We start from the raw sequence: 27,992 nt of genomic DNA, 5'->3' as shown, positions 1-27,992 counted from the left end.
CCTGCTCCTTTCTTCTTTCTCTCCCTCCTACTCCTTCCCTCCTCCTCCTTCCTCCCTGCTCTCCAACCTTCTCTCCTGCTGCCCTCTCCCTCCTCCTCTTCCTTCCCCACTACTGCCTCCTCCTTCCGGCTAGCTCCTCCTCCCTTTCCCCCTATGTGCCCTTCTGTCCCTCCCTCCATCTATGGCTCATGATGGAAAGCCCCCAGTGTAGCACCTTGAGTGAAAATATCCCCATAAATCCTATGCCCCAGCTCTCGGAGCATTTGGAATTTTGGCAAGTAGACAAACACTGGCGGCCTTTCCTACCCAGCATCCTGGAAGGAGGCCCTGCTGGCCACTGGCGGGGCTCAGGCCGCAGGTTTCTGATGGGCCCTTTCTCTGGGCACCTTCCCCTCCTATTCCTAAGCACCCTCCCAGCTCTCTCCCACTTTTTTTTTTTTAAACCCTTGCCCACCCTTCACCGCTCTCTCAGAAGCTCTCTGTGAGTAAGGGGGAGATAGAAGTGATGAAAGTCCTTTCTGTTACTAGAGGAGAGGAGAAGCTCCGTGCAGGGGAATCCGGGATGCTGGAAAGCTGGGGAATTTAATACAGAGCTGGCTCTGCTCCATCCTGGATCTTCTTTATGTTCTTTGAGTGAGTAAACATTGTAAACCCTGTTTGGATTTTGCTTTGCCTCTTTGGGCAAAGTTGAAGCTGTTGCAATGGAAAGATCCTTTCTCCCTCCCTCCCCTCACTTTCCCTCCTTCCCCACTCCTCCTGCCCTCCCTCTTCCTCCTCCCTTCCTTTCCTTTCCTTTCCTCCTTCCTTCCTTTCTTCCTTCCTTCTTTCCTTCCTTCCCTCCTCCTTCCTTTTCTCTCCTCCTTCCTTTTCTCTCTTTTCCACTCTCCTCCCATTCTCTTCCTACTGTATCCCAGCAGATCAGCTTGCTTACCTTTTAGCTTTCTTTCTTCCCCCTCTTTTAAAACATAATAAAATACTAGCAAACATTATGTAACATGCACTGCGCTAAGCACCTTGAATGTATTAACACACCTAATCCTCTTCAGAATCCTATCATGTGGATACTATCAATATGCCCATTATATGGATGAGAAAACTGAGGCACCAGAACTTAAGTCACTTTGTTCCCTGCCCTCATGGCTGCCTTCTCTCCATGATCCCAGGGCAGGGTATGCCCTCTAGCTTTTTCCTACTCCTTGTCCCCTTCCCTTTGGTGTCTCCCTGTGGCATCTGCATGTCAAAATGATTTCTGACCCCACCTCCTTTTTGCCCTGTCTTACTGGGTGCTCCTTATGGGCCAAGAGAGGCCACAACTGTCTTTGCATGAGCTCTGTGGGCTGAGCAAAGCACATGGCTCATCTGTGGAAATACAAAGAAGCCAGGGGAACTCAGGCCGCAGATGGAGAGTCCTTGCCATGGCTTTGAGTGACAGAGATTTCAGGTCAGTGTCTCAATCCTGAGACACTCCATGGAGGGATTAAAGAGAGGAGTAAAAGACAGGAGAAAGATGGTGTAGGGTGTCAGTTTGGGCTGGTAGCTAAGAACCACACGTGGCTATTAAGCTTTGAAATGTTGCCCATTGGAACTGAGATGTGCTGTGAGTATAAACTATGCACTGACTTCAAAGACTTGGTTGGAAAGAAAAGAATGTTGTAAAAAACTCTAACTCATTAATACCTTTTTGTATTGATTTTATGTTGAAATAATAACAATTGGATATACTGGGTTAAATAAAATACATTAAAATGAATTCTACCTTTTTCCTCTATGGCTGCCAGAAAATTGAACATTAGCCCATGCACAGTGGCTCATACCTGTAATCCCAGCACTTTGGGAGGCCGAGGTGGGTGGATCACTTGAGATCAGGAGTTCAAGATCAGCCTGGCCAACTTGGTGAAACCCCATCTCTACTAAAAATACAAAAATCAGCCAGGTATGGTGGCGCGTGCCTGTAGTTCCAGCTACTCAGGAGGCTGAAGCAGGAGGATTGCTTGAGCCAGGGAGGTGGAGGTAGCAGTGAGCCGAGAGCACACCACTGCATTCCAGCCTGGGTGATGGGAGAGAAACCTGAAGGAAGGAAGGAAAGAGAGAAAGAAAGAAAGGAAGGAAGGAAGGAAGGAAGGAAGGAAGGAAAGGAGGAAAGGAGGAAAGAAAGAAGGAAAGAAAGAAAGAAAGACAGAAAAAGAAAGAAAGAAAGGAGGGAGGGAGGGAGGAAGGAAATAAATTGAACATTATATGCATGGCTTGCGTTTGTGGTTTTGCTAGTTTTCTATGGGATGGCACTAGCTTAGAATGTTTTGAGCCACAAGAAACAAAAAGCCTGACTCTATCAAGTGCCATGAACAATAAGGAATTCATTATTTCACTGAAGTAGTAGTCTAGAGGTAGGGTGGGCTCCAGCATTGGTTAATTTAGCAGCTTACTACACAGCAAGACCCATGGTTTTGCCACCTTTCTGCTTCGCCAACCTCAGTGAGTTGACTACCTCCTCCTCACAGCCACAATGTGGCTGCCATAGCTCCAGAAAGCATATGTAGACATTGACAACAGCCAGTGGAAGAAGAGAGAGGGGCTCTTCCTGTGTATTTCTGCTGCCCATCAACAGACATCCCCTGTCACATGTCATCAGCCTGAATGGAGTCACAGGCCCATGCTTAGACTGATCCCCAGCAAGGGGATGAAACCACCATGAGTAGCTTAGACAAATCATGTTGCACTCTCTGGTGCTGGGGTTCCAGATGAATCTTGGGGAGCACCTACCTTCTGGAAGGAAGGTAGACACCGGAACATCAGGGCTCCGTGAACCAGCAAAAGGAAGGGCTTCTCCACTAGGGATGTTGTAGGTAATTGGGAGAAGCATCTTATTGCCTTTGCCAGGTTGAATGTCTCATTTTGAAGGTGGCACGGGGATGTTCTTATATTAAGTGATGTTGAGTCGATGAGCCAAGAGCACATCTGTTATTTCTGTTTGTCTGGCAGCTTTGCATTTCTCCCTTTTGGAAACTGTCCTTCTCCCTCTTGGCAGGGCTGTCAGTGACAGAGTCTCAGAGATGACCCAGAATTGCCAATCAGCGTACCCCATTAGCCAAAAGAGTGTGCTTATTTCCTTAAAGGGCCAGCAAAGTTCTCAGGGAAGGCTCTGACTGGCCCAGCTTGAGTCATGGGCCCTGACACTGACAGGGAAAGCCTGAGTCTAATGTTGCACATCTTCATTATGGGAAACTGTGATTTGTGAAGATGGCCTGGAAGCCTGGCCCAGACCCTACAACAACTTCTTTGTTGCTGGCGAGGAGTTGTGTTTCTTTGGAGAAGAGGCATTATGGTTTTTGGAATTTTTAGCCTTTCTGCTCCAGTTTCTCCCCATCTTTGTGGTTTTATCAACATTTGGTCTTTGATGTTGGTGACCTACGGATGAGTTTTTGGTGTGGATGTCCTTTTTGTTGATGTTGATGCTATTCTTTTCTGTTTGTTAGTTTTCCTTCTAACCGACAGGCCCCTCAGCTGCAGGTCTGTTGGAGTTTGCTGGAGGTCCACTCCAGACCCTGTTTGCCTGGGTATCACCAGTGGAGGCTCAGTTGGAAATACGGAAATCACCCGTCTTCTGCGTCAATCTCGCTGGGAGCTGTTCCTATTCGGCCATCTTGGAAGCCTCCTGACTCTTTCACAACTTCTCAATAAATAAGAGATGACTGAATGTCTTTTTAAGTCCATTTGTCAGGAGCCAGAGGCCTGGACTAGAAACTTCACCTGATCTCCTGCCCCTCCTTGTGCCATAGCAAGTCACAGATTTTTCTAAGAGCAAATCAACCAAAAGTAAAAATAGAACCTGTTGATTTTCCTAAGAGGAAATCAACCAAAAATAAAAATAAAACCTGTTTCTTGAGGTGTTTGACTTAGGAATTCTTTCCTGGGCCTCAGAAACATTGGAACTTTCATTTTTACTCTTCTCACCAGCACCTGTTAGTTTGGAGACAAAGTTAGACTTTAGCTCTTGGAAGCAGGTGAGTGTAACAGTCAAACACATGGTCCCTGGAGACTAATTGCTTGGATTCAAATCCTAGTCTCGTCGCTTGCTAGCTGTGGGCCCCTGGGCAGTTTGCTCAGCCTCCTTGTGTCTTCATTCCCTCTTCTGTAAAATGGGGATGGTGATCAAAGTGCCTGTCTCACAATGTGGCTGTGAGAATGAAGTTAGCTAATAGACATCAAGGTCTTAGAACTCCCTACGTTAGATTCTGGGACCTCACATATATGCTTCTGTGCCTGGGTTCTGAGCTCATAGATGGTGGCAAGGGTTGGATGAGGATCTGTGTGAAGCACGTCCTGCCCATAGCAGGGGCTGGGTAAAATGGAGCAACATGTTCTCCTCCTCACACCCTTATGTAAGCACCTTTTCAAAGCAGCCCCGTGTTTCTTTACCCACTCGTTTCTTTTTCCTCCCAAAGACAATGAATTGCTTGCTGAAAGAGCCTTGCCGAGTGCACACACACGTGACAGCATTCCATTAAAAATCTCTTTGCATAGCTCTAATGCAGTGAGAGACATTTGTGATAGGTTGGAAGGGGAAGCACTGATTTTGAAAGGAAAAGGGAACAAAGTGCTTTTATTCCCCGTTGAATTAAAAAATACTTCCAAGGCTCCAATGTCAAATCTTTTCCTCACTTTCTCCCGCAGCAATGTGCCAGAAACCCTGACAATGAACCGCTGTCTCTGACTAATTGTTCTAGTGGAGATGTCTCCTGTTTGACTTGATTTTAAACTGTGGAGCACGTCAAGAGAAAGCTCACTGATCTGCCGAGGGTTTGTGCTTTTCTGTCTTCATGCATCTGTTGTGGGTGAAGAGAGCAAAGATTCTTCATTCAATCAAAGGCCCCCTTTGGAGATGCTGAGAAGGAAATTTCCTTTGGAAATTCCCAAAGGTAGGTTCTTTGGGGAAGTGAGAACTCTGCTGCTTCAACCTTAGCCCAGCCTGCCCTCCTGGTGGGAAAGACCAGCCGTGTCTTGGCTTCCAAAGAACCAGGAGACAGAAGGAATTTATGGCTGGAAGCCCAGCATGGTCGTGTCCCCTGGGCCCAGTTGCTTCCCCTCTGTGGTTTCCATATCTATGTGTTAAGAGAAAGCATCTGAAACTTTGAAATAAGGAAGAAGATGACTGCGTGTCCTTTGAATGCCACATTAAAGCACTGTCAGACAGGCCCTGCCCAATGGCAATTTAATTCTTCAGGGCACGGGCCAAATCTGGCTGCTGCCTGTTTTTGTAAATAAAGTTCTATTGGAACACAGCCACACCCATTCGCGTACAGATTGTCTGTGCTGCTTTCATTTTGCAACCACGGCTGCATTTGAGTGGTTGCAACAGAGACCATATGGCCCACAAAGCTGAAGATTATTTACTGTCTGCCCCTTTATCGAGCACTTTTGCTGACCCTGCTCAAGGGAGGGGAATATACTTTTCTGTGATTTACTCTTTACTACCGGTTCAGGCCCAGACTCTGGAAAGTGTGATGCTAATTTCTGGAAGATTGATAACTTGCAAATGATTTCAGTCCAGTAGTCATGAAAATGATTTCTGTCCAGTGTAAAAGATACCCTCGAAGAATACGATTTTATTGACCCTCAGGACATTCATCATTTCTGAGTCTGACTTTGCTGTCTTAGTTCAGCAATCTTTCTGTCCTCCAATGCAGTTACTTTGGTCTTTCCCGTAAGGCTTTGAACTGGTTTTCTCGTCCTGCTGGTCGCCCCACTCATAGGTTAAAGAGATCCTTGACATGTGCTCATTTACTATTTGTGAAAGAGTCACATTCTTACTTTTTTGAGAATTATACATTGACATGAGGACATGGGACCAGATCAGGGGTTAGCAAACTGTGCCCTGGGGAACCCTGAGTGTCTTGGGGAAACCCGAAGTCCCTTAGGTGAACTATAAGAAGATAAGGAGGAGAGAAGTTAGAGTCCCTTACCTCTTCATCAACCAGAAAAGCTCCACTTACAAACCTCCCTTCTGTTTTGTGGTTTTAAACGTAAAATTCCTTGAAAAAAAGAAAAAGCGATTTTGCTGCAAAGAAAAATGTGTTGCACCACCAGACAAGGTGCTCGGGAAGTTCTGGAGTTCCTGAGAGCTGTGTGTGGAGCCAGCAGGGCAGTGCTCAGCTCTGTTGGCTGTTGGGGGCTGTGCATTCCTGGGCTGGGTCTGTAATAGGGCCCTGGTCTGTCTGTGGCTGGGTGGAATGCAGTGTATTTATGTTCCTTCAGAGGAGGAAGAGGCCTCCAGAGAGCCGGCTTGAATACCAACAATTCCCTCAGGTCTTACAAGGGAAAAAAAGTGTGCTTTTCCTTCCTAATTGTGTTTCTTAAACAAACCTGACTGCAGTTGCACGAAGCATGGTCTGTGGCATCCGAGTATTGACAATTTCTCATGAGAACATTCTGCAAACCAGCAGGTCTTCATGTATGCCAGAGAAATGCGGGGCTCACCAGGTGCTGGGAGGGTGCCTGGGACCCTGAGGGTCTGCTGCAGGTCAGGTGAGAGGAGGAAGAGAAGAAACTACTCAGAGCTCTGTGTGTGTGAGTGTCCCTCTTTAATTTTGGGCTTATGTATTTATTTATTTAAGATTTTATTTTATTGTAATGAGAACACTTACCATGAGATCTACCTGTTGCACTCTGGTTGGGGGCAGTCTTAGGGCTTAGTTTGGCCATTGCCTTGCTGGGAGCAAGCCTGTCTTCCCCCGGGGTCTCTGGGGTCTCCTGAGAGCAGGGCCTGGATGGATGGGAGACAGGGGAGCAGCTCTCAGATTCTGAGACACGCTTGCTGGTATTTACTTGGGTTAGGTGAGTCTGTGGTATAGGCCTCTCCATTCTTGACAGATTGATCTTTTTTTCTTTTTAATTGAGGTATGTTAGATTCACATAACAGAAAATTAACTGTTTTAAAGCATACAGGTCAGTGGCATTGACTGCATTCACCTTGTTGAGAAACCATCACCTCTGTCTATTTCCAGAACATTTCCAATTACCCCAAAAGTCAGTCTCTATGAAGCAGTCACCCCCTTCCTCCATCCCTCTACTCTTCGACCCTGGCAACTGCTAATCTGCTTTCCAGCAGAATGGATTTTCCTATTCTGGATATTTCATGTAAATTGAACCCTACAATATGTAACATTTTATGCCTCAGCATCATGTTTTTGAGGTCCATCCTTGTTGTAGCAGAATCAGTACCTCATTCCATTTCATGGCTGAATAATATTTCATTGTATGGACAGACTGCAACCTGTTCATTCATTCCCTTGTTGATGGGCATTTGGGTTGATTCCAGATGTCGGCTATTGTGAGGAGCGCTGCCAGCTTGTTCTTGTCCCACATAAGCCCTTGCTCTCTTGCCAGCCTTGTCACTGAGCACTCACACAGTGACACCCCCACCAAAGAGTCTCCTCTAACTATTTCTGGGCATCCGTGGGGATGTTTCGCACAATGGATGCTCTGTCCCAGGTGCCTGGAGGCAGCCTCTGCTGTTGATGCCCTCTGTGCGCAGACAGCTCTGCCACACCCAGCTGGCATTGCCAGGGGCCCTGTGCCCCGAACCACCAGGCTCATGCTGTGATCTGCTGAGTAGAAGGTCTGTGTGTGGGGCAGGACCTAGTTGTGGGTGGTTTTGTTATAGAATGAGGACCTTGTCATCTCATGAGGGCTTTTGCTTCTTGCCTCTTACTCTGCAGATCTTTTCACTTTGGCTGGTCATGTTCCCCAGAAAGACATCTTCTGGTCTCAGAGGGATAGAAGAAGGGTGACAATTCATTCTGATTTACCTAGGACGTCCCTGGACTTAGCACTGAAAATCCATCACCCTGAGAATGCATCAGTCTCAGGAAAACCAGGACAGTTGGTCATCCAAGATAAGAGCCGGCTTTTTTGGGAGGGGGATGATATCTCATCATTCAGTGTGTTGAGTTCATTTAATCCCCCTTCTTTGAATTAGGTGGCTGAGACTTATCCTATATTGTGCCCCTAAGCCACAAATCCAGAGCCTATTTTCCTGAAGCTGGCTAGAAGTTAAACTTCTTTTCTTCTGTGGGATTGGAGGAGGGGTAGTCACCTTGCTGCCTGGCGTTGAGGAAGGAACCTGGAGATCTAGATTTTATTTTTAAAGATTTTTAAAGCAATCCTCTTGCTTCCAGCCCACCCAGCACTTTTTATTCAGAGCTGATGAATTCTTGAGGTTTTCTGGGGTTCTGGGACCCAGTTCACTTTGCTTCCCATTGTTTCCCCTTTGTCTTGGTTCAGCTTTCAGCTTTGATACATTAGTTCATCCAACCTGTTTTCAGCCTCCAAATACATACATGCACACACACACACACACACACACACACGTATGTATTTGGACATCTCTTCTTGCATTTCTCCCTTTTCTTTTTTACCTTGCAGGCTTATTTATGACTTTTTAGAAATTTATTTGCTGGCATGTGAGTTATTCTCAGGAAGGAGCAGAGAACAGTACATGTTTTCTCTGCCATGCCTTGCAGGAAGTCTCATTTCCTCAACGCGTGAGATGGGCGTTGGGTCAGGCAGAAGCGGGTTCCCATCTTGGCTGGGCTCCTCTCAGCTAAGTGGCCTTGGACAAGCACATTGACCCCATCTGAGCCTGGTTTCCTTTCTAGCCTGGCCTCCCTTCAAAGTAAGAAGAGTAAAGTGGGATGATAATGAAAATAGACCACAGAACTCGTGGGCAGCGCCAAGCTTGGGCCCAACATAGGTGGCTGGGGTTAGGCTCTTTGAAGAAGCTCCTCAAGCCTGCATCTCCCAGGGTCTTCTACAACTTCCTCAGCTCCTTGTCTCCCTGCCTGCCTCTCTCACAGGACCTCAGAACCCATCCAGCAGTCTAAAGGGGACACATTTTATTCCATCCCTGCTTTTCAGCAATTCATTTTCTCTAGGGCTTCAGAGCAAAAACTGCCTCTTCTTTCTGCCAAAGGGCTTACCAGCCCACCCTTTCCTCCAATAGCTGGATTTTGTTTAATTTTTAATTTTTTTTTTGAGGCGGAGTCTCCCTCTGTTGCCCAGGCTGGAGGGCAGTGGCGTAATCTCGGCTCACTGCAACCTCTGTTCCAGTGGGTGTCATGTCTCATGCTCCCGAGTAGCTGGGATTACAGGCACCTGCCACCATGCCAGCTATGAATACCTGAATTTTAAATCCTAGATTGCACTCAGTTTTGATGCCTGTTGCTCCCCATCCCCAGCCTCACCTCTGCCCCGCACACCTACTCTTTTTTGACCCATTCTAGCCAAGCTCAGAGAAAGGCATCTTCCCCCAGGAAGCCTTTCCTAAGTCTGTCAGCCTTCACAGAGGTCCCCCTCACTCTGTGCTTCCTGTTTTTAGGCAAGAGCAGTGGTCCACGGTGCTTAGGTGTTTGGGTTCTTGAATTTGAGTTTGCATCTCGGCTCTGCTATCATACCTACAAGCTGTGCTACCTTGGGCAAATTACTGCACCACTCTGAGCCTCAGTGTCCTCATGAGTAAAACATGAGTTAATAATAGGACCTAACAGTCTCTCATGAGATTGTTCCAGAGATGAAATGATGTGACACACATAAAGAAAATGCAGTGGTTAGCATATACGCGTAAGCACTCAAGACAAGTTTATTACAATGTCTATGTCTGCTGTACTTTGATTTTGACTTGCTTTAACTGCCAGGCTGTATCTAGGGGTGGGAAACTTGTCTTCTTCCTTTTTTTTAATACTTTGCAGCCCCACCCCAGTGGCCCGGGATGTCGTCACGCCCCGGAGCAGGAATCCAAAGATATTCTTGCCTGCTAGTCTTGCATCATCCACGGAGTGACCTTGAGCAGGTCATGTCACTTCTCTGAGTCATTTTGCTTTTGGCAGCTGGGAGACAAATTCCTGCTGAAGTAAGCAGAAAAGAAAGTGAAAAAGAGACTGCAGCTTTTCACAAATGTTTCTTCCCTTCTCTCACAAGTTTATTCCCCACCAGCCCAGCCAGAGATTCTTGTTATCTTAGTTAGATGGTACCCTTGGGGTCTCTGGCTCTCTCTGGCTTTTAATCCTGGCTTTACATTAGAATAAACTGGGGAGATTTTAAGGGTCTTTATGCCAGGGCCTAACCTTGAATCAAGGTGGCTGGAATTTTAGGACATGAAGTTGATGTTAGAGGTCTTTAAAAGCTCCTAGTGAGGCTCATGCTGCTGGCCTGTGGTCCGCACTTTGAGTAGTGAGGCTCTAAACAACCCTCTTGTCCTTCCAGGAAGCATCTATCGGGCATCTGAGTCAAGTAAAAGGTACAATTTCCTTTGACAAAGCTCATCCTTTGATCATTGGGTTTCTCCAAGTATGGGGAACTCCCTTCCTCCCAAGGGCCACATTCTGTTGTTTCACAGTGGCTCTGATGGTCAGAAAGTACTGCTTTCCATGTGACTACAGCCAGCATCCTGGAATTTCCATTCCTTAGTCCTTGCTGAGGGTGGCTTAGGCTGGCCCAGGGAGGTCACCATATATCCACGCTAGCCTTCATCTGAATGGCTCTGTCAGGGGTCACACATCAGGGTCACTCAGAGAGCAGTGCTGCAGAGGCACTCTCATGGGTTTCAAAGAGCCCCACCATTCAAAGGCCCTGGTTCCAGAAAAGAGGCCATCCTGCTAAGCGGCATTAGTCTAATGTTTTCCGAATGCACCTCCACTGGAATTTTCTGGACAATGTGTTCAAAATAACCCACTGAATCAGAATCTCCAGGGGAGGATCCAGGGAGCCTGCTTATTTTAACACTGCTCAGGTGAGGGTTATGATCAGGCTTATGCAAAACGCCTTTAAACTGATTGGATTAGCTAACTCTGGCTGCCGAATGTTCCAGGGAGCAGTTATAAGATGGGAAAGAACCTGTGGCTTAGTGAGGGTGAGCAGGTGGGAGTAGGGGTGTCCAGGCCTGGGAAGAGCTCACATCTGGGCCTGGGCCATCAGCAGGTGGTCTCCCAGGATGATGCTGGTGTGTCGCTGTTGTAGCAGAATCCTTTACTCCCTCTCTCCCTGGATGAGTTCTTTTCTTTCAACCTTATCAGTTCTTGGGAAGAAGAGGAGGCAGAAAAGACTATTTGTATCTCACTCATGCCTAGAGAGTCCTGTTCTCTGGGAAAAGATTTACTCTTTCAGGGTCAGTTCTCTGATTGGTTGGTTTGTTTCTCAACTCCTGCAACAAGAAAATTCACCCTTAATTGAACAATACAGTCCTCTGTATTAGTGTGCTAGGGCTACTATCACAAAATGCCATAGACTGGGTGGCTGACACAACAGAAATGTATTTCTCATGATTCTGGAGGCCAGAAGTCCAAGTAAGGTGCCTGCAGGTTTGGTTTCATTTTGAGGCCTCTCATCTTGGCTTGCATTCGGCCACCTTCTCACTGTGTCCTCACATGATCTCCCCTCTGTGTGCATGCACCCCTGCCTTCTCATCCTGCATTCAATTTTCCTTTTCTTATAAGGACACTGGTCAGATTGGATTAGGTGGATTAGGGCCTGCCCTACTTTGAAGGCCCTATCTCCAAGTGCGGACAGTCACGTGCTTTAGGGCCCACTTATTTGACCTCATTTAATCTTACTACCTCTTTAAAGACCCTATGTCTAAATACAGAAACATTCTGAAGTACTGGGAGTTAAGACTTCACCGTGTGAATTTTTGGAGAAAAATTCGGCCCATAGCGTTCTCCTAGGGCTTTGTAAGTGGGTGACTGATGACAACATTGAGAGGGAGACTGGGAGGAGCAGTTGTTAAACAGGAGTGGGGAAGAAACAAAGAAACAGGGGCTGGAATGCACAACCCCATTGCTGTCTTGCTTTGGTTACCTACTTGTTTTTATTTTTGTTATTATTATTTTTTTGAGACGGAGTCTTGCTCTGTCACCCAGGCTGGAGTGCAGTGGCAAAATCTTGGCTCACTGCAACCTCCGCCTCCCAGGTTCAAGTGATTCTCTTGCCTCAGCCTCCCGAGTAGCTGGGATTATAGGATTGCACCACCAAGCCTGACTAATTTTTGTATTTTTAGTAGAGATGGGTTTCACCATGTTGGTCAGGCTGATCTTGAACTCCTGATCTCAGGTGATCCACCTGCCTTAGCCTCCCAAAGTGCTGGGATTACAGGCGTGAGCCACTGCACCCAGCAGCTACTTGTTTTTAATTTCCAGACTCTCCTGCTCAGTTCTATTAGTCTCTGAGAGTATCCTGTTCTTGTTTAAAGGATATGTTATCTTTTCTTTCTGAGGAATTTTTTTTTTTTTGAGACGGAGTCTCGCTCTGTCACCAGGTTGGAGTGCAGTGGTGCAATCTCGGCTCACTGCAACCTCCGCCTCCCGGGTTCAAGTGATTCTCCTGCCTCAGCCTCCCGAGTAGCTACAGGTGCACACCACTACACCCAACTTGTTTTTGTATTTTTAGTAGAGACGGGGTTTCACCATGTTGGCCAGGATGGTCTCGATGTCTTGACCTTGTGATCCACCCCCCTCGGCCTCCCAAAGTGCTGGGATTATAGGCGTGAGCCACCACACCCGCCCGGAGGATGTTTTTGAAAACCTTCTTCTGCTTCTCTGTTTCTCCCTTTTAGTCTGTTTTGGTTTCTGTGAAGGTGGAAATACTGTTCACATGTCTAGGGGGATGCAGTTGTCTGAAAAACCTGTGGGTGGGCATTTTTTCCAAAGAGTCCCTGATATGGTTTGGCTGTGTCCCCACCCAAGTCTCACCTTGAATTGTAGCTCCCATAATTCCCACGTGTTGTGGGAGGGACCTGGTGGGAGGTAATTGAATCATGGGGGTGGTTTCCCCCATAGTGTTCTCATGGTAGGAGTAAATCTCATGAGATCTGATGGTTTTATAAGGGGAAACCCCTTTTGCTTGATTCTCATTCCCTGTTTGTCTGCCACTATGTAAGATGTGGCTTTCACCTTCCGCCATGATTGTGAGGCCTCTCCAGCCATGTGGAACTGAGTCCATTAAATCTCTTCTTCTTTATAAATTACCCAGTCTCAGGTATGCCTTTATCAGCGGCATGAGAAAAGACTAATACAGTCCCCAAATATCAAATTCCTTGGGTCTTTGCTTTTGGCTCAGCCAGCCTCCCTGGGGAAGAAGCATCTAAGGGTCTGCTTGGGGTTGACAGTGTGTGTGTGTGTGTGTGTGTGTGTGTGTGTGTGTGTGTGTGTGTGTGTGTTGGGGGCCATAGTCACGGGATGCTGAGGAGCTAGAGGATGGCACTGTGGAGCTGAGTTGGAGATAAGGGTCTGAGCCTCACTCTTCAATGGACTGACGCTCATTTACTCCCCTGTTTTCAGTACAGTTCCTCATTCCTATCCTTAGTAGGGTCTGGTGTCCCCTAAACCAGCATCCTTGGCATAGCATCTGCTGAGAGTCAGCTACGCATTTGCAGCTGCAGAGCTGGGGCACTTGCCTGGTAATGTGGGCCTGGGGAGAAGATAGGGGAAGGGAGTGGTTAAGCTTGTAATGACTTTCAACCACCCTTCCCAGCCTGCCTCCAGAGGTACCTGGTACCTCCAGTTCCAGAAGCTTCCAAGATTCAGCACTGCATGATCTCTCCTTATTTGCTGCTGTCTCTGCAGGCACTTATTAGAGAGGAGAAAGCCAAGATCCAAATCGGCTGTCCTTTTCTGTCCATTCTCCATCCCCGTAAACTTCTTGACATTTCCTATTTGCTGTTGTTCCCTCTCCTGTTTATGTCTTATTTGTTTATAGCTTTTTTATTTTCTCCCCCTGACTCTAGTGAGTTTTGAGGACTGAGCAGAGATCACCATCTACGTGGTTAGCTGGAAGTTCGCTTCCTCTCTTAGACTTAGTCTCCTCCTCTAGAAAGTGGGGCTAGTAATAGTTTCTACTTCAAAGTCTGTGGGAGTTAAGTGAGAGAGTGCATGGAGCATGCTTAACATGTGATCTGGCAAAAATATCCAATAAATACTAGGAAAAACAGCCAAACAAAATTATTGGCCTTGTTCTTGGGTCCTTGTAAATTCCTAGAAACAGTGACATAGTTCAAACCACAGAGCAGAGCTTCTAGCTTAACGTTCTGCTTGCCCACGTCTGATGCTTGCCTTTCCCCTAATACTGAAAAAAGAAGCAAAACTTGGCATTTACCCACAAAGAAAGGTAGACCAAAGCAACACTCTTCAAGCTTTACTGCGTATTCCACTCACTCGGGCTCTTATTAAAATGCTGATTCTGACTCTGTTGCTTTGGGGTGGCTGAAGAATTTGCATTGGTGCTGATGCTTCTAGTCCTGCTGGTACAAAGACCACACTACGAATTGCAAGAGACTAACTGGTAGAAACTTATCCTGTGGGCCAAGACAGAGCAGGAAAAGGGGAGATGTCCTCCTGGGACTCCATTGGCTGGTGGTCTTTTAATGGGGGCTTTTGTCCTTCAGGATTGAAATCTAGTGGGAATACTGTGGGTTCCTCTAAGTGGCCACAAGATGTCATAATGTCATTACATGAATTCTCCCAGAAAGGTTCAAGTCTGGGTGTCAAGTTACATCCCTTAAAGCAGAAAATGGAAAGTGGCAGCTATCTAATCAGTGCTGCTTCTGGGATCATCCTCGGTCAAACCTTCCTCCCCAGGGTAGATGTCAGGCTGATGGCAGAATCTTTGTCTTACCATCTTTTCCCACTCCGACTTTGTTAATAGAGTCACGTGAGAATCACGTGGGCCCTAGAAACAGGGTCTGCCATGAGAGAAGACTGTTCTCTTTAGAAACATAAAGTTCAGAATTTCCTATGGTATAGCTCACAGAACCACAATCTGGAGGGATGCTTTTCATAAACAAAGGTCTTCTCGAACAAATCAGTTGGGGAAATACTTCATGTTCCATCTCCTTCTTTAGATGTCCTAGATTCTGAAGATGATCATGTCAAAGGCTTTGGTAAGACCTGCAAGAATCCATCCTGGTTGATATCAGTTACTCCTGTGCTTCTCAAACACCTTCAACCATGTCAATCCTCCTCCCTGCCATGAATACCATTAAAACCTACAAAGTATTTTAGGTTTTAATGCAACTTTAGCAGAACCAGTGGTTGTACTTTCACACTGGAAATGGAGGCCCATGTGGCGCACTTAGGGCAGGGTAGGGAAGAGAGATGAGTTTGAGGTCACCTGGCTAGAAACATGAGCTCGCTGCATTTCGGAAGCATCAGACAAACAACATCATCTCTACCATGATCATGGCCTCGTGTACTTTCTTCTTCATATTAGTTGTCTGACTTTATTTACTCTCCCTAACCATTAGGTGAAACCGTAAGAAATTGCTGTTTGTGGAGGTAGGGAACAATCAAATGCCAACAATTTCACATGGTTCCAGCTGGACTAGCGATTGGTACACTATGGTCTGTGGGCCAATCTGCCCCAGCCCTGTGTTTGTGAATTAAGTTTGATTGAAACATAGGCATCCTCTTTTGTTCACGTATTGTCTATGACAACTTTCACGCTTTGCTGGCAGAGTTGGGGAGTTGCCACAGAGACCGCCAGGCCAGTAAAGCCACATTATTTACTATCTGCCCTTTTACGGAAAGGTTGCTGCCCCCAGTGTAACTGCTAGGTAGCTCCTTGAGGAGAGAATCCACAGATGAGAATCATTTTTGTAGCTTTTCTGCTCCCCACAGCAACACTGCACCTGTAAATAGTAGGCGCTTATTAAGTATTACAGTCTATTTTCTGCTGCTGTAACAGAATACCACAGACTGGGTAATTTATAAAGAAAAGACATTTATTTAGCTCATGGGTCTAGAGGCTGGAAGTCAAAGGGCATGGTGGTGGCACCTGCTTGGCCATCTGATGAGGGCCTTCTTGTGGCATCATAATGTGGCAGAAAGCCTCACGTGGTGAGGAAGCGTGCACATGTGATGGAGAGGAAACTCATCCTTTTATTCGAGAACGCTCCTGTGATAACTAACCTGCCCCTGTGGAAACTGCATTAATCCATCCGTGAGGGCAGAGGCCTCATGACCTAATGATCTCTTAAATGTCCCAACTCTTAATACTGTTGGAATGGCAATTCAATTTTGACATGAGGTTTTGGAGGGGACATTTGAACCATAGCAATCAGTACTGGATACAGAAAAAAGCCACGAGCCTTATTCCTGGAGAAGGATGATACCTGATCTTTCATCTTCTTCTCCAGACCTTTGGCTTCTGTGTCTTGACTCACTCCCAGATGTTTGGCAGGCAAGCTCCTACTGCTGCCAGTGAAGTCAGCTTCCTCCTTTTTGAGGAAAAAATTCTCCAAAAAGTCTCTAAGAGCCCCTGGACATCAATCAGCTAGCTCTTAGAGCTGTGTGGATGAGGATGTATAAATGAAGCAAACATATGGATTATATTTCCATCAAAATACACACAGGCTCCGAAATTCAGTGGGAAAGAGCTTGGCAAGGTCATTCCATTACTTGGCCATTTCCAAAACTGTTTGAGGAAAGTCTGATATATTTGATAAACCTCAATCACAGTGTGGAATTAACCTTTCTCTCCCCAGACTGTGCAGGAAGCTCAGAAGGAGTGGGGAGAAGGCCACTAGATTGAACTACTCCTTCCAAAGCTTCTTGAATCTGACTCAGCGAATCATTGGCAGCTACTTGTGTCCTTTAGGGAGTATATTTCTTTAATCCCCCATGGACGGGCAAAATGGGGGCAATGGTATAATTTGCTAGGGTGGTATTCTCATTTTCCTTCTGATAGATGCCTAGTGTTGTTTAAAAAAAAACTAAATTAAAAAAATTGATTACACACCATACATGTTTATTGTCAAGAAAATGAGAAGAGACAGATGAGCAGAAAGAAGAAAATCACAACTGGTCTAGTGTCATTTGACAGTGATGAGGCAGCCAAACAGTCATTGTATGCTTACATATTTGAGCAGAGCTGGGGGAAAAATTGGGGAATAAGAATGATCTTGCTTAAAGTGCAAGGGACCTTTGGAGGCTGAGAAGACATGAACACATTCTTAGGGCAGAGATGAGGAGCTAGGGGGGTGGGAGGCATCATTCCCTGATTTGGATTCTGTTTTAAGCCTTTCAGTTTGGTAATTTGAAGGATTCTGCCCTTTGCCCTAAGCCACTGTGCCTTTTAACTCTGGGGCGAGTCAGGAATTTGGCTCTCTGCACCAGGAAAACATGAATTACTGTAACTTTTTGTGGGCCGATTAGACTGTGAAAATAATAATATTTTTGGCAGCACAATTGAAGGGACGGGGCTGCTGGCAGAATAGAATCATTTACTGCCTTGACTAGCAAAAGTCCCACTCGTGCCAGTAAACACCAGAAATGGGAGATGGGGAGGTTGACTTCACCCTCACTTGTGCCTCTTATTTTGTGCTCATTGCAAGGTGTACCTCTGTTATTTTTTGGTGCAATGCAAGACCCTGCTGAAGAGTTACCTTACCTTCAAACAGTTTCCAGACTCTCTTTCCCTTTATACCTCCCCCTCCAGAGGATTGAATGCTGTATAGTTCTCTTCCCGCTTTCCTTGCAGCCAGAGTGGCTGGGCTACCCAGATATAGCCTGTGAGTCTTCTTGGTGCAGCATTTGGGAAATCTTCCTTTTTCCTGCGCAGAAGTGATTGATGCTTTTAGGTTGGTGCAAAAGTAATTGCAGTTTTTGCCATTAAAAGTAATGGCAAAAATCGCAATTACTTTTGCACCAACCTAATATTTTCATAAGGCCAGCTTATTCCCAACTTAAGCATGGATGAGGTGCCTGGAGCTGAAGCAGCCATCTTGTGTCCACAAGAGAAAAGCCTAGAGAATCACAGAGGTTGGTCCTGAAATCATTGAAATCAGTGTCAGTGACTGCCTTCCTTCAGACCTTCTGTTAAGTGAGAAAATACCCCATTTTCTATTTAAAGCAGCATGAATCAGGGTTTCTGTTATTTGCAACCAAATGGCGTCTTGGCAGATGCACCACATGACCCGCTCAGCTTGGCACAGAGACAGATGCCCATCATCGTTTATAAACTTAGTTGTGGCAAAAATATACTTTATATTTTGTTCCAAGTTTGGTGACTGTGTCTAGGTCTCAGCAGGGAACTGATGATATACTCAAACAGCATAATTAAAGAAAGTTTAATGAAGGCACCAGTGGCAAGGGTATTGGAAGATTTAGGGTAACCACAAGAGATTGGTTAGTGCCCTGGGGCTTCCAGCTGGGAGCTGTTCTCACCCTTAGGCTAACAGGGCAAGGAAAGGAGCCAGAAAGAGGAGTGAGAGAAGGCTGCCTGACAGGAGTGTGCCCTGGGGTGGAGGGATGCTGCCAACTTGCAATGCAATAAGCACCCTGGCCTCTCTCTTTCCACCCACCAATCTCCTGCCAGTAGTCCCCTCTTCTCCATGGGGAGTATGTTCCCAGATCCCTAGTGCGTGCCTGAAACCATAGAATACTACTGAACCGTACACACACACACAGACACACACACATATATATATATAGCACGATTTCTTTTTCATTCTTCACAATTTCACAGATGCAAGATTCATTCTTACCACAGATCTTAGCAACCTCGCCATACAATCTTTTTCTTTCCTTATTAAGTCGTGAACTTTCATCTTTTCACTTGAAGGAAGCACTTTACAGTTTCTCTTTGGCATACCTGAATTGCCAGCATCAATACTCTTGCACTTTGGGGTCATCATTCACTAAAATAAGGGTTCCTTGAACACAGGCACTGGGATAGCACGAGAGTCGATCTGATCACCGAGAGGGCTACTAAGTGACTAGACGGTGGGGATTGTAGACGGCGTGGATCCAATGGACAAAGGAAGGATTCATGTCCCAGGTGCGCTGAAGTGGGAGAGTACAAGATTTCATCATTCTACTTGGAATGGTGCACAGTGGAAAATGTATGGATTTTTTATTTCTGTGATTTTTTTCCATTTAATATTTTGGGACCATGGTTGACTGTGGGTAACTAAAATCATGGATAAGAGGTGACCACTGTACTAAGAAGAAGCCAGAGGACTCCGTACGGGGCGGCCTTCCAGGACACAGAGCAGGGTAGAGGAAAATGGCAGGTGAATCTGGAGGGGCACACAGGAGTCTCCAGCGTGGTGGCCCACTCATGAAGGGTCTGAGGCATTCCAGGGAGCTGTGCTCCACCACTTCAGAACCACTGCTCCAGCTCCAAAAGCTTCGCCTTGAACTTGGAGTGCTCTTTGCTCTGTGTCTTCTCTCCAAGAAGTGGTCTCCACCCTCTGGCCAGTGCCCCGTGGCTGCACCTCCAGCTCTGCCTGGCCTGCGGCTAGGGAGGCTTTTGCTGAAGCTGTTCATGGCCAGAGCACCCACTGGGCTGGCTGCCTGGCACAATTCAGGATGCTAATTGGGCACCCGGCAGCTGCGTGGAGTGCTCTGGAATCAGATTGGTTTTTAAAATTCTGATTCTATTTAAATATCTCTGGGGACTTAGATCAAGCCTGTTAAACACAAATCCTTGATACAAAAAGACCAGAAAGGAAGAAGCAGTTCTGTCTCATGTATGAGAGTCTCACTTTCATGGTCTCATGTCATCAGTGACACAACACACACCTATTTCACCCAAATGGGGAAAAGGGGAAAGGGAAAGCAGCTCGCCCAAAACTAACTGAAGCTGGTTCCAAGGACACCTCCCTGGCTGGCCCTGTCCTGCCCGCAATACTTTCCTCTCTCTCACAGGCGCTCATGTCATTGGGAACTTACTCCTTGGAATTTCCACCTCACCAGGGAGCCTCTGTATCCTCACTTTACTGAGAAGGAAACTCAGATGCAGAGAGGTTAAGTGACTCACCCAAGGCCATAGACTCATAAGTGGCATCTTCAGAAGGAAAACCCAGGTCTTCTGATGTCAAAGCTTGTCTTCTTAACCAGTTGTGTCTAGCTCTGGTTTGCTCAGGAGAACCCAGAACAGCATGCGAGAAGCCCCTCTCAATGGGGGTGTGAGCTTTGGGCTTTTTCTGGCCTGAACGAAAGTTCACTTTGCACTCCAAAGACTCAACAAAAATCAAAGTAACCGTGGTAGAGAATAGTCATTAAGAGCACTTGGGGTCAGGCAGACCACACTGAGTTCTTAACACCCTTTGAGCCTGGACATTCTCACCTCTATAATGGAGCCGTACCTCTCTTAGGTTGTATTTTCCTCAGAAGCTGATCCTGGGACAAGGATTCCAGTACAAGTAGTTTATTTGGAAGGTGACCCCAGGAAACACTAGAAGGGGCATGGGGAAGTGAGATGGGGAGGAGAAGGTAGCCAATACTAGGCGTATTATCAAGCAAGTCACCACAATGGGTGACTGGAGCTTAACGCCCTTGGGTACACTGGGCGCCCCTGAAGTTCCCACAGTGAGTTATCCCACTCAAAGAGCAGAGGAGCTGGGATATTGATCTTGCATCACCCATTGGCTGAGGGCTGCTCTGGGGTGATATTAATTCCTGGGGGACTGCTGGCCTGCTAGGTGAGGCAGCAGAGCCAGTGAGAAGAAAGCCTTTGGCAAAACAGCGCAGGTGTTGGCAGGTGAAGTCGGGCCAGAGTGCACCGTGTTTAAGGAGCCAGGCGCTGCTAGCGTCTCAGATGCCTGCCCCATAGAGTTGCTGTGAGGGGGCCATAAAATAATGCCAGGCACCTCATAAGCGCTCGCTACACCAGGCCCTTAGATTACTCTTATTATTATTGCCATTACCATTCCTGTGACTGCTACCAACTCAGGGCACACTGAGCAGCCAATTTGGTGCTTGCCATGTGTCTCCCGCTGATGATTTTTGACATCAGAGTCTTTTGCTTTAGCCAAACGTTGTATTTCCCCTAGGGACCATCCACTGGGCAGAAAGCTCTGAGCTCCTGGCCCATGGGATGAGAATTCTAGCCAGGTGTGTTTCCCAAGCACAGGAAAGAATTTGCCTGGTGGGAGGAAATCGGGCCTGGCCGTGTTCATGGGCCGGGCTCGGTTTTCTCCAACTCTTTAGAGAGAAGAGAAAAGCACCACCCCCTCCCTTCAGAAGCCAGGGCAGCCTCCAGCTGGCAGCCGGTGCCCACGTGCACAGCCAGGACCTGCGTGCAGCTGCCCCCTCCTTGGGCTGCCTGCCCTCCTGTTGTTTCCCCAAGGGCCCCCATAGAGCAAGGCCCTCTCTGGGAGCTGCCAGAGGGTGGGTTGCTTCCTCCAAGCCCTCCTCCCTTCCTGTGTACCTTCTGCTACTTCCTCTTCCCACCCCACACCCCCCACCTTCCTATTTCTTTGTCATCCTTTCTTCTCTGGGCTCCTTGGGGAGGGGTGGGGTTTTGGTCAGGATTATTCCCACATCTCCCCTCAGAACGACTGGCTGGGTTTGCAGTGTGTTGAGGGGGGCTTTTCCCTCCTCCTTCCTTTGGGTCTGTTCCCTCTTGTGTTTGCTTTGATCTCCAACGGATGCCGACAAGTGGACGGGCCCACCCACTGATCTCTTTCAGTGTGGCTGAAAAGAAGTGTTTTCATGTTCTTAGGGCTCGTTGCTCTTGCTGCCTGTGGAAGGGAGCGATGCTGGCTGGCGATGGAGCTGCTGGAACCCTGCAGATGGAAAGAGCTGGCAGTGCTGGCTGGGTTGTTATGAGGGGGCTGATGGTGGGCGTGTGGGTTTGCTGCGGACCGAGGGTTGGAGACAGGCAGGGTGCTGGGGTGGGATGGCAGCTGGTGAAATTGGACAGATCCCTGAGAAAATGTAGCAGGCTCTCTCAGGAGGGATTTCCAGGAGCTGCTGTCTGGAAGCTTCCCAAATACCTGCCATTCAGGAGGAGATGCAAATGAGGAAACAGGCCAGTGGAGCACTTGGGTTCAAGTTCTGAGTATGTTACTACCTGACTATGAGGCCTTGAGTAAATAAATGAATAAATAAATAAAACACCCAGTCCTTCTGTGCCAGCACTTTCTGAGTCCTCAATTGGATAAGTGGACACCCCTTCCACTTAGTTTGGGAGTTCATGGTATCAGCTCTTGCTGCATAAAAAGAACCCCCCAAACTTAGTGGCTTGTAACAACCACCATTTATTTAGCTCATGATGCTGTGTGTAACTCAGCGTTTGAGCTGGGTTCTGCTGGGTGGTTCTTCAGCATTGACTAGGCTCACTCATCCATCTGTGGTTAACTGCCGGGGCTGCTAAGGGCTGGCTGGTCCAGGCTGACCCAGCTGAGACAGTGTCTGTGTTCCATGAGCTTTTCATCCTTTAACAGGCTACCCCAGGGAGTCTCTGGACTCCAGGACAGAAGGACACAAAACCTTTTCAGACCTAGACCTAGGCCTGTCATGGTGCCACTGCTGCATCATTCTGTAGGTCAAAGCAAGTTACAAGGCCAGCCCAGACTCAAGGAGTGGAGAAACAAATTTCACCTTTTGATGGGAAAAGCAACAAAGTCACATTGAAAAGTCTGACTGCAGATACAGAGGGTGGAATAGTTTTGGCCATTTTTGCAAACAATCTGCTACACTTGTGAAATAATAGGCTCAAAATCACTTGGAAGAGCAGAAAGTCTTTACTGCAAAGAAAGATGCGAAGGGCAGAAAATCAGCTTAATCCCACAATCCCAAGGAACGCATTGAGAATGTATTTGTCTGTGTAATCCAGTCATTTCTCAGGCTCATGTAATGGTGTTTTGGGTGGAGTAGGAACCAGAATTTGAACGACCAGATGAACAGAATTAGATGAGAATCCTTTTTCTGGTTGTCTATTTGCAGCCTCTAAGAAGTGAAGTCTCCTGACTCATCCACATTTGAGTTTGGACATATGCTACTGGGACTAATGAATTTAGATAGCTTGGATGGTGGTCCAGTTTCGGGGACCCCCATGATGGGGGATGGTGTCTTTCGTGGTAAACAAGATATCTGACAGCATAAACAGCACAGGGAGGAGCTCTGGGTACTGTATAATGAATACAAGAAACTACCCTACCTCACAGTGGCATATGTGTTTTCTGGAAAGTCACAGCTGTCAACTGAAGGGGAGACATCTCTAAACTCAAATGCTTCAGGGGCTTAAGCAGCTTTGCTGTGTGACCCCTCTAAGTGAGTGTGATGCGGAGAGCATGTCATTCATTTCTTCCAGTTGATGATAGGACTTGCTGGCCACCGGGAGCTGGTGCCAGGAGAGATTTGGGTTTCTGGAGGATGGTGGATTTTCATCTCCAGCAGCACCAGCAAGGAAACAGCAGTTTCAGTGCAAAGAGCTGCGAAATCCCAGCCTTCCTAGCCTCATGGCACCTGGGTCTCTTTCACAGATACACGCAAGCAGTGTTGGAGCCGGAACTGGCCTCTAGAAATGTCGACCAGTTGTCATCCTCACCAGCAGACTACCGGAGTGTTTATTTCTCTTCTGCTTTCGCCAGCTCTGGACATTCTCACTAAAAAATAAAACAACAAATCCTGCATGGCTTTAAGAAGTCTCTTTATACATATGCATACATAGAAGCCGAAGGGTCCCGAAGCCATTCTGATTGGGCAACAATTTGGAAGACAAATGATGACAGCCACATTATGGGGCATGGCCAACCGACTGCCATCCTGCTTGAGAGGGTCCAGCAAGCTGCACACATTTGAATGTTCACTCGGGAGAGCGCTCCTCTCTTCCTCTTCAATTACCCAGCATGGTTACATGGTGCTTTTCACTCACCAAGCCCTGGAGGTTAATTACTCCACACGGTGCCTTTTACCAGCAGGAGGTGTGCCTTGGCAGTCCTCAGCCCTGCACGTGGCCTGCCCAGATGGGTGGCACATCCCGCCCTCGCTGGCTGCTGGGTTTCAGTTTGTTTTTGTTTATGTTGGCTCTGTTTCAACAGAGCCTACAGATGTGGTCAAACTGGAAAGGGGGTGGGGGACTAGAAGCAAAGGGGGGAAATAAAGGCGCCAATCATTTCTGATATCATCTGATCTGAGCAGAACTTTTTGAAGGGGGCAGTGAGAAAAGCCAGGCTTGGTCTGGGCCTCTGCTGCTTTCTATTTTCGGTCTCGTCTCCATCCCACCCAGAGAGTGGGAAGCCCAGGCACTGGGGCTCACCTTAAAGAGCCCGCGCAGAGCTTGCTCGAAGCAGCTCTGATTTCCAGGCCACAGGCAGGAACGGCTTGGCTCATTGGCCTCTTCTCCTCTTGGGGCTCCATGGGACTGGCTTAGTCCTAATGAGAGCTGGCAGACAGAGAGGAAGCAGGGTTGACAGAGAGCTGACTGCCCCTCCCCAGGCAGACTTTTCACCTGGCAGGTAAAAACCATCCCAATTAGCTGCCACAGCAAGGCTGAGCCTGGAGCTCACAGCCCATCCTGTCACCTGCCTTCCCTGGTGGCGGAAGCAGAAGCAAGACTGGGGGGCATGGTGGGTGGGTGGGGGGCTGTAGGCTGTGGGTGTGTGGGAGGACCCAGTTCCCGGAAGAGGCTGCACTTTCTCTGGGGTTTCCACAAAGCCCAGGAGATCTCTTCTGGGACAAACCCTTGCCCCAGCAGGCTTGGGGAGGGGCAATGAAAGAGTTAAGGCCCTCACTTCTTCACCCACCTCCCTGCTCCCCTATGACTGTTCCAGTGGCCCCCCCTTCCTTGTGGGGCTCCTGCGGCTTCCACAGGGAGCCAGGCAGGGCCCTGCCCTTGGCTACATCTGCCAAATGCAAATAGTTGCTAAAGTTATTTAGTGTGTCCTCACGGCTCCTTTTTGTCACTGGTGTTCCCTAGGCAACTGCTGCTGGAATGCAGTCAACTTCTAGAGGTTCTTCACAGGCAGGAATAGAAAATGGCTCTTGCTCACTTCTTGTTTGGGGGCTTCTCTGAGTGGATCCTTACATTGGGAACTAGAGTCCTTGTTTTTCTTATTTGAAAAGAGGACAGCGAGAGAAAGCTGACCAAACTGCCCTCTAGAAGTGGAGGAGGTGGAAATTCAGGGTCCCTTTGCTACTTTCGCTGGATGGAGGTGACCAGGGCTACAGAGAATGGCCTTCAACATGTTTATTTCCTTCTGCCAAGACCTTCCCACAGGAGCGACCTTCCCATAGAGCAAGAGAGGTTTCTCTCTTCTTTCTAAAGATTATACAGATCAGTCAACTTTATCTTAAAGCTATATTTCTCATATAAGCAAAACATTTCTTATAAAAAGTTGGAAAATACAGATAAAGTATAAAAAAGGGAAAAATCTCTATACACATTTCCCATAATCCCATCATCCACAGATGATCACTATTAACATTTTGATTACATGCTTATATTTGTATAGACGTCTTATACAAATTACCCCCAAACCCAATGGTTTTACAGCGGTTCTCAAACATTTTTGGTCTCAGGACACTTTTACACTTGTAAAGTCATTAAGGACCTCAAAGAACTTTTGCTAGGTCAGCTATATCTATCAATATTTACTGTATAGGAAATTAAAGCTGAGATAATTTTAGAATGAAGAATGCACACACATGTATTCTATTAACTGTCACAGCAATAATGTTATTACACATCATATAACCTATGGGAAAGTCCACTGTACACTCTTGAGAGTGAACAAGGCAAATAACATGTTAGTAGTATTAGCAAAAGAGTTTGGACTTTGCAGATCCTCTACTAGGGCCTCAGGGACTCCCCAGGAGTTCCCAGATCCCAGACCATGCTTTGAGAACTGCTGATTTTAAAACATTTAGAATTTGCTATTGCTTATGAGACCTCTGGTCAGCTGGAGGGCTCTTCTGATCTTGACTGAGCTCATTGGTGTATCTATAATCAAGTGTGACAGGTGAGTGGCTCTGCTGAACTTGGTGACTCCCTTATGTATTTGAGGGTTAGCTGGTTAGAGTCAGATCGAAGATGGCCTCAGTTGAGACTGCTAAGCTCTCCTCCATGGGGTCTCTCATCCTCCAGTAGGCTAGGCTGGGTTTGTGCACATGTCAATGTCAAGATTTTGAGAGCTGGAACAAGAGCAAGAGTGAGAAGGCAAGGTGGGTGGGGAGGGGGAAGAGAGAGAGTCTGAGAGAGAGAGAGAGAGAGAGAGAGAGAGTGCAGGAGTGCTCATGGCTTCTTGAGGTCTAAAGACAGGAGCACTGACTGTCAATTTCTCTATATTCTATTGACCAAAGTGACTCGCATGGCCAGGAGGTGCAAAATAGACTCTACCTCTTTTTGGGAATTGTGGCAAAGTCACATTATAAGGGGCATGGATAAGGGGAAGGGAATAATTGTGGCTATTTTTGCAGTCTACCACATACCTTATGTTTGCTTAATGGCTGCATTATTTTCCACTGAATGGACATGCTATAATTTATTCAGTCCTGATTGCTGGACATCAAGGTTGATTTTAATTTTCTCCTAATATGAATGAGGCTAGAATGAGCATTCTTGTGCATGAATTCCTAGAAGGGAAATTGTAGCAATAAAAGGTATGAGCTCTGTTAAGGTTCTCCATCCATTCTGCCAAATCTCTCTCCAGAGAGCCCGCACCAGTTTATGTTCTCACCAGCAAAGGAGGAGGAGACTGCCTGTTGAGAGACTGATTTCTGCAAGTGTGTGTGTGTGAAATCAATCACTTGTTAAAAACTGTTCTTTATGCCAAGTGTAGACAAGGCCTGTGGTCCTCAGTAATTAATTCTGCGGAGTGAAGAGCTACTCTTCAGCCTCCTTCACAGAAATGGCCACAGCTTGAAGAGACTGCTGGGGAGGAGGCTTGTTGGTAGACTGCTGGTTCTGAGTCCATCTATGGGCATCACTTTCCTTTCTAGACCCTCACTGGTCTTAAATAGTTATTTGTTAGAGATTCAAGATGCATCTCTTCCCAAGAGAACAAGAACTATCTTTTTTTTCTTAAAAAATAAAAAAAGGTAATCAAGAGTGCTAGAAATAGGGGACTGAGCTCAGGAATGGAGTCCTTAGCCCTTGGTGAAACAGTTTGACCTTGGTTGTGTGATGGTGAGGCTCTGTGTATGGGCCAGTTGACTGAGGGCAGAATCCACAAATCTGAAGTTATCCCTGTGTGCCTTACCCACTGATATGGTTTGGCTGTGTTCCCACCCAAATCTCATCTTGAATTGTAGCTCCCACAATCCCCATGTGTCATGGGAGGGACCTGGTGAGAGGTAATTGAATCACAGCGGGGGTCTTTCCCGTGCTGTTCTTATGTTAGTGAATAAGTCACATGAGATCTGATGGCTTTATAAGGGGGAGTTTCCCTACACAAACTCTCCTACCCGCCGCCTTGTAAGACATGACTTTGCTCCTTGTTTGCCTTCTGCCATGACTGTGAAGCCTCCCCAGCCATATGGAACTGTGAGTCAATTAAATCTCTTTCTTTTATAAATTACCCAGTCTCTGGTATCATCATTAGCAATGTGAGAACAGACTAATACACCCATTCTTCCCACCTTTTCACCCCATGATTCCTAGTGTCCACAAGTCAACAAACTGCTTAGTCCACGTGGCCCTGTATGTTGTTTTGCTTTATTTCTTACCATGCCCTGTATATCTTCTTGGCCCTACGGTGCTTCAAGCCCCTGCTCACTAGTTTCCAGAATAAACCCTGTTGAATCATTTTCACCTGGCACCTCTGCTTCTGCTGTTCCCTCAGGCAGAATTCCTATTCCAACCCTCTCTTTTTTCCATTCTTCATCTAGCTAATTAATAAGCATCCTTCAAAACCCAGCCAAAGGAACTCCAAACGTTCACCTGTGAGGGTGTGTTGAGACTCCCAGTCCCTGAATTGACTCATCTAGTAACAGCAGCTCTGGAGGAGATGTGGGAGCCCTGGTTCTTGCTTTATCCTAGCTGTGTGACATTTAGCAAGGCAAGTGATCTCTCTGTGCTCCAGTTTTTCTCTTCTCTAACATGAAAATGACCTTAGACTCATGTTTCATTTCCAGTTATTGCATTAATAGAAGTATGTGACATTATAATTGCTACAAATGCAAAACAAGTGTTTTTTTGTTTTTTTTTTTTAAAGTCCTACCTTATGTTCCCTTGAAAAGCAGAGGATAAGACAAGGGCTTGCATGCAGATAATTTCTTTTG

General features: G+C 46.8%; 1 long non-coding RNA gene across 3 annotated transcripts in view, besides 5 other annotated features; it reads left to right on the top strand.

Moving 5' to 3' along the window:
- The window catches only part of LOC105377158 (uncharacterized), a 32,683-nt gene extending 27,394 nt beyond the window's left edge, over positions 1 to 5,289 (top strand). For all 3 annotated transcript variants that reach the window (XR_001740749.3, XR_001740750.3, XR_001740748.3), the window contains one exon: positions 4,672 to 5,289. This is a non-coding gene — a long non-coding RNA (uncharacterized LOC105377158). The remainder of the gene's footprint in view (positions 1 to 4,671) is intronic.
- Positions 9,705 to 9,954: an enhancer, noted in NCBI's record as "active region_20083". NCBI's record gives its function as "activates an Ori minimal core promoter by ATAC-STARR-seq in GM12878 lymphoblastoid cells {active_cell/tissue: GM12878}" and the evidence as "EXISTENCE:reporter gene assay evidence [ECO:0000049][PMID:35858748]".
- Positions 9,705 to 11,016: a biological region, named in NCBI's record as "CDK7 strongly-dependent group 2 enhancer GRCh37_chr3:72318159-72319358".
- Positions 9,817 to 11,016: an enhancer, noted in NCBI's record as "CDK7 strongly-dependent group 2 enhancer chr3:72318159-72319358 (GRCh37/hg19 assembly coordinates)". NCBI's record gives its function as "activates an origin of replication core promoter dependent on BRD2, BRD4, P300/CBP, MED14 and CDK7 cofactors, with strong dependence on CDK7, by STARR-seq in HCT116 cells {active_cell/tissue: HCT116}" and the evidence as "EXISTENCE:reporter gene assay evidence [ECO:0000049][PMID:35650434]".
- Positions 12,991 to 13,060: an enhancer, noted in NCBI's record as "active region_20082". NCBI's record gives its function as "activates an Ori minimal core promoter by ATAC-STARR-seq in GM12878 lymphoblastoid cells {active_cell/tissue: GM12878}" and the evidence as "EXISTENCE:reporter gene assay evidence [ECO:0000049][PMID:35858748]".
- Positions 13,916 to 14,025: an enhancer, noted in NCBI's record as "active region_20081". NCBI's record gives its function as "activates an Ori minimal core promoter by ATAC-STARR-seq in GM12878 lymphoblastoid cells {active_cell/tissue: GM12878}" and the evidence as "EXISTENCE:reporter gene assay evidence [ECO:0000049][PMID:35858748]".

This window comes from Homo sapiens, chromosome 3 (assembly GCF_000001405.40).
Source record: "Homo sapiens chromosome 3, GRCh38.p14 Primary Assembly".
Classification (NCBI taxonomy): domain Eukaryota; kingdom Metazoa; phylum Chordata; class Mammalia; order Primates; family Hominidae; genus Homo; species Homo sapiens.
Note: the sequence above shows the minus strand (reverse complement) of the source record. Positions and strands in the feature narration are given on the sequence as shown.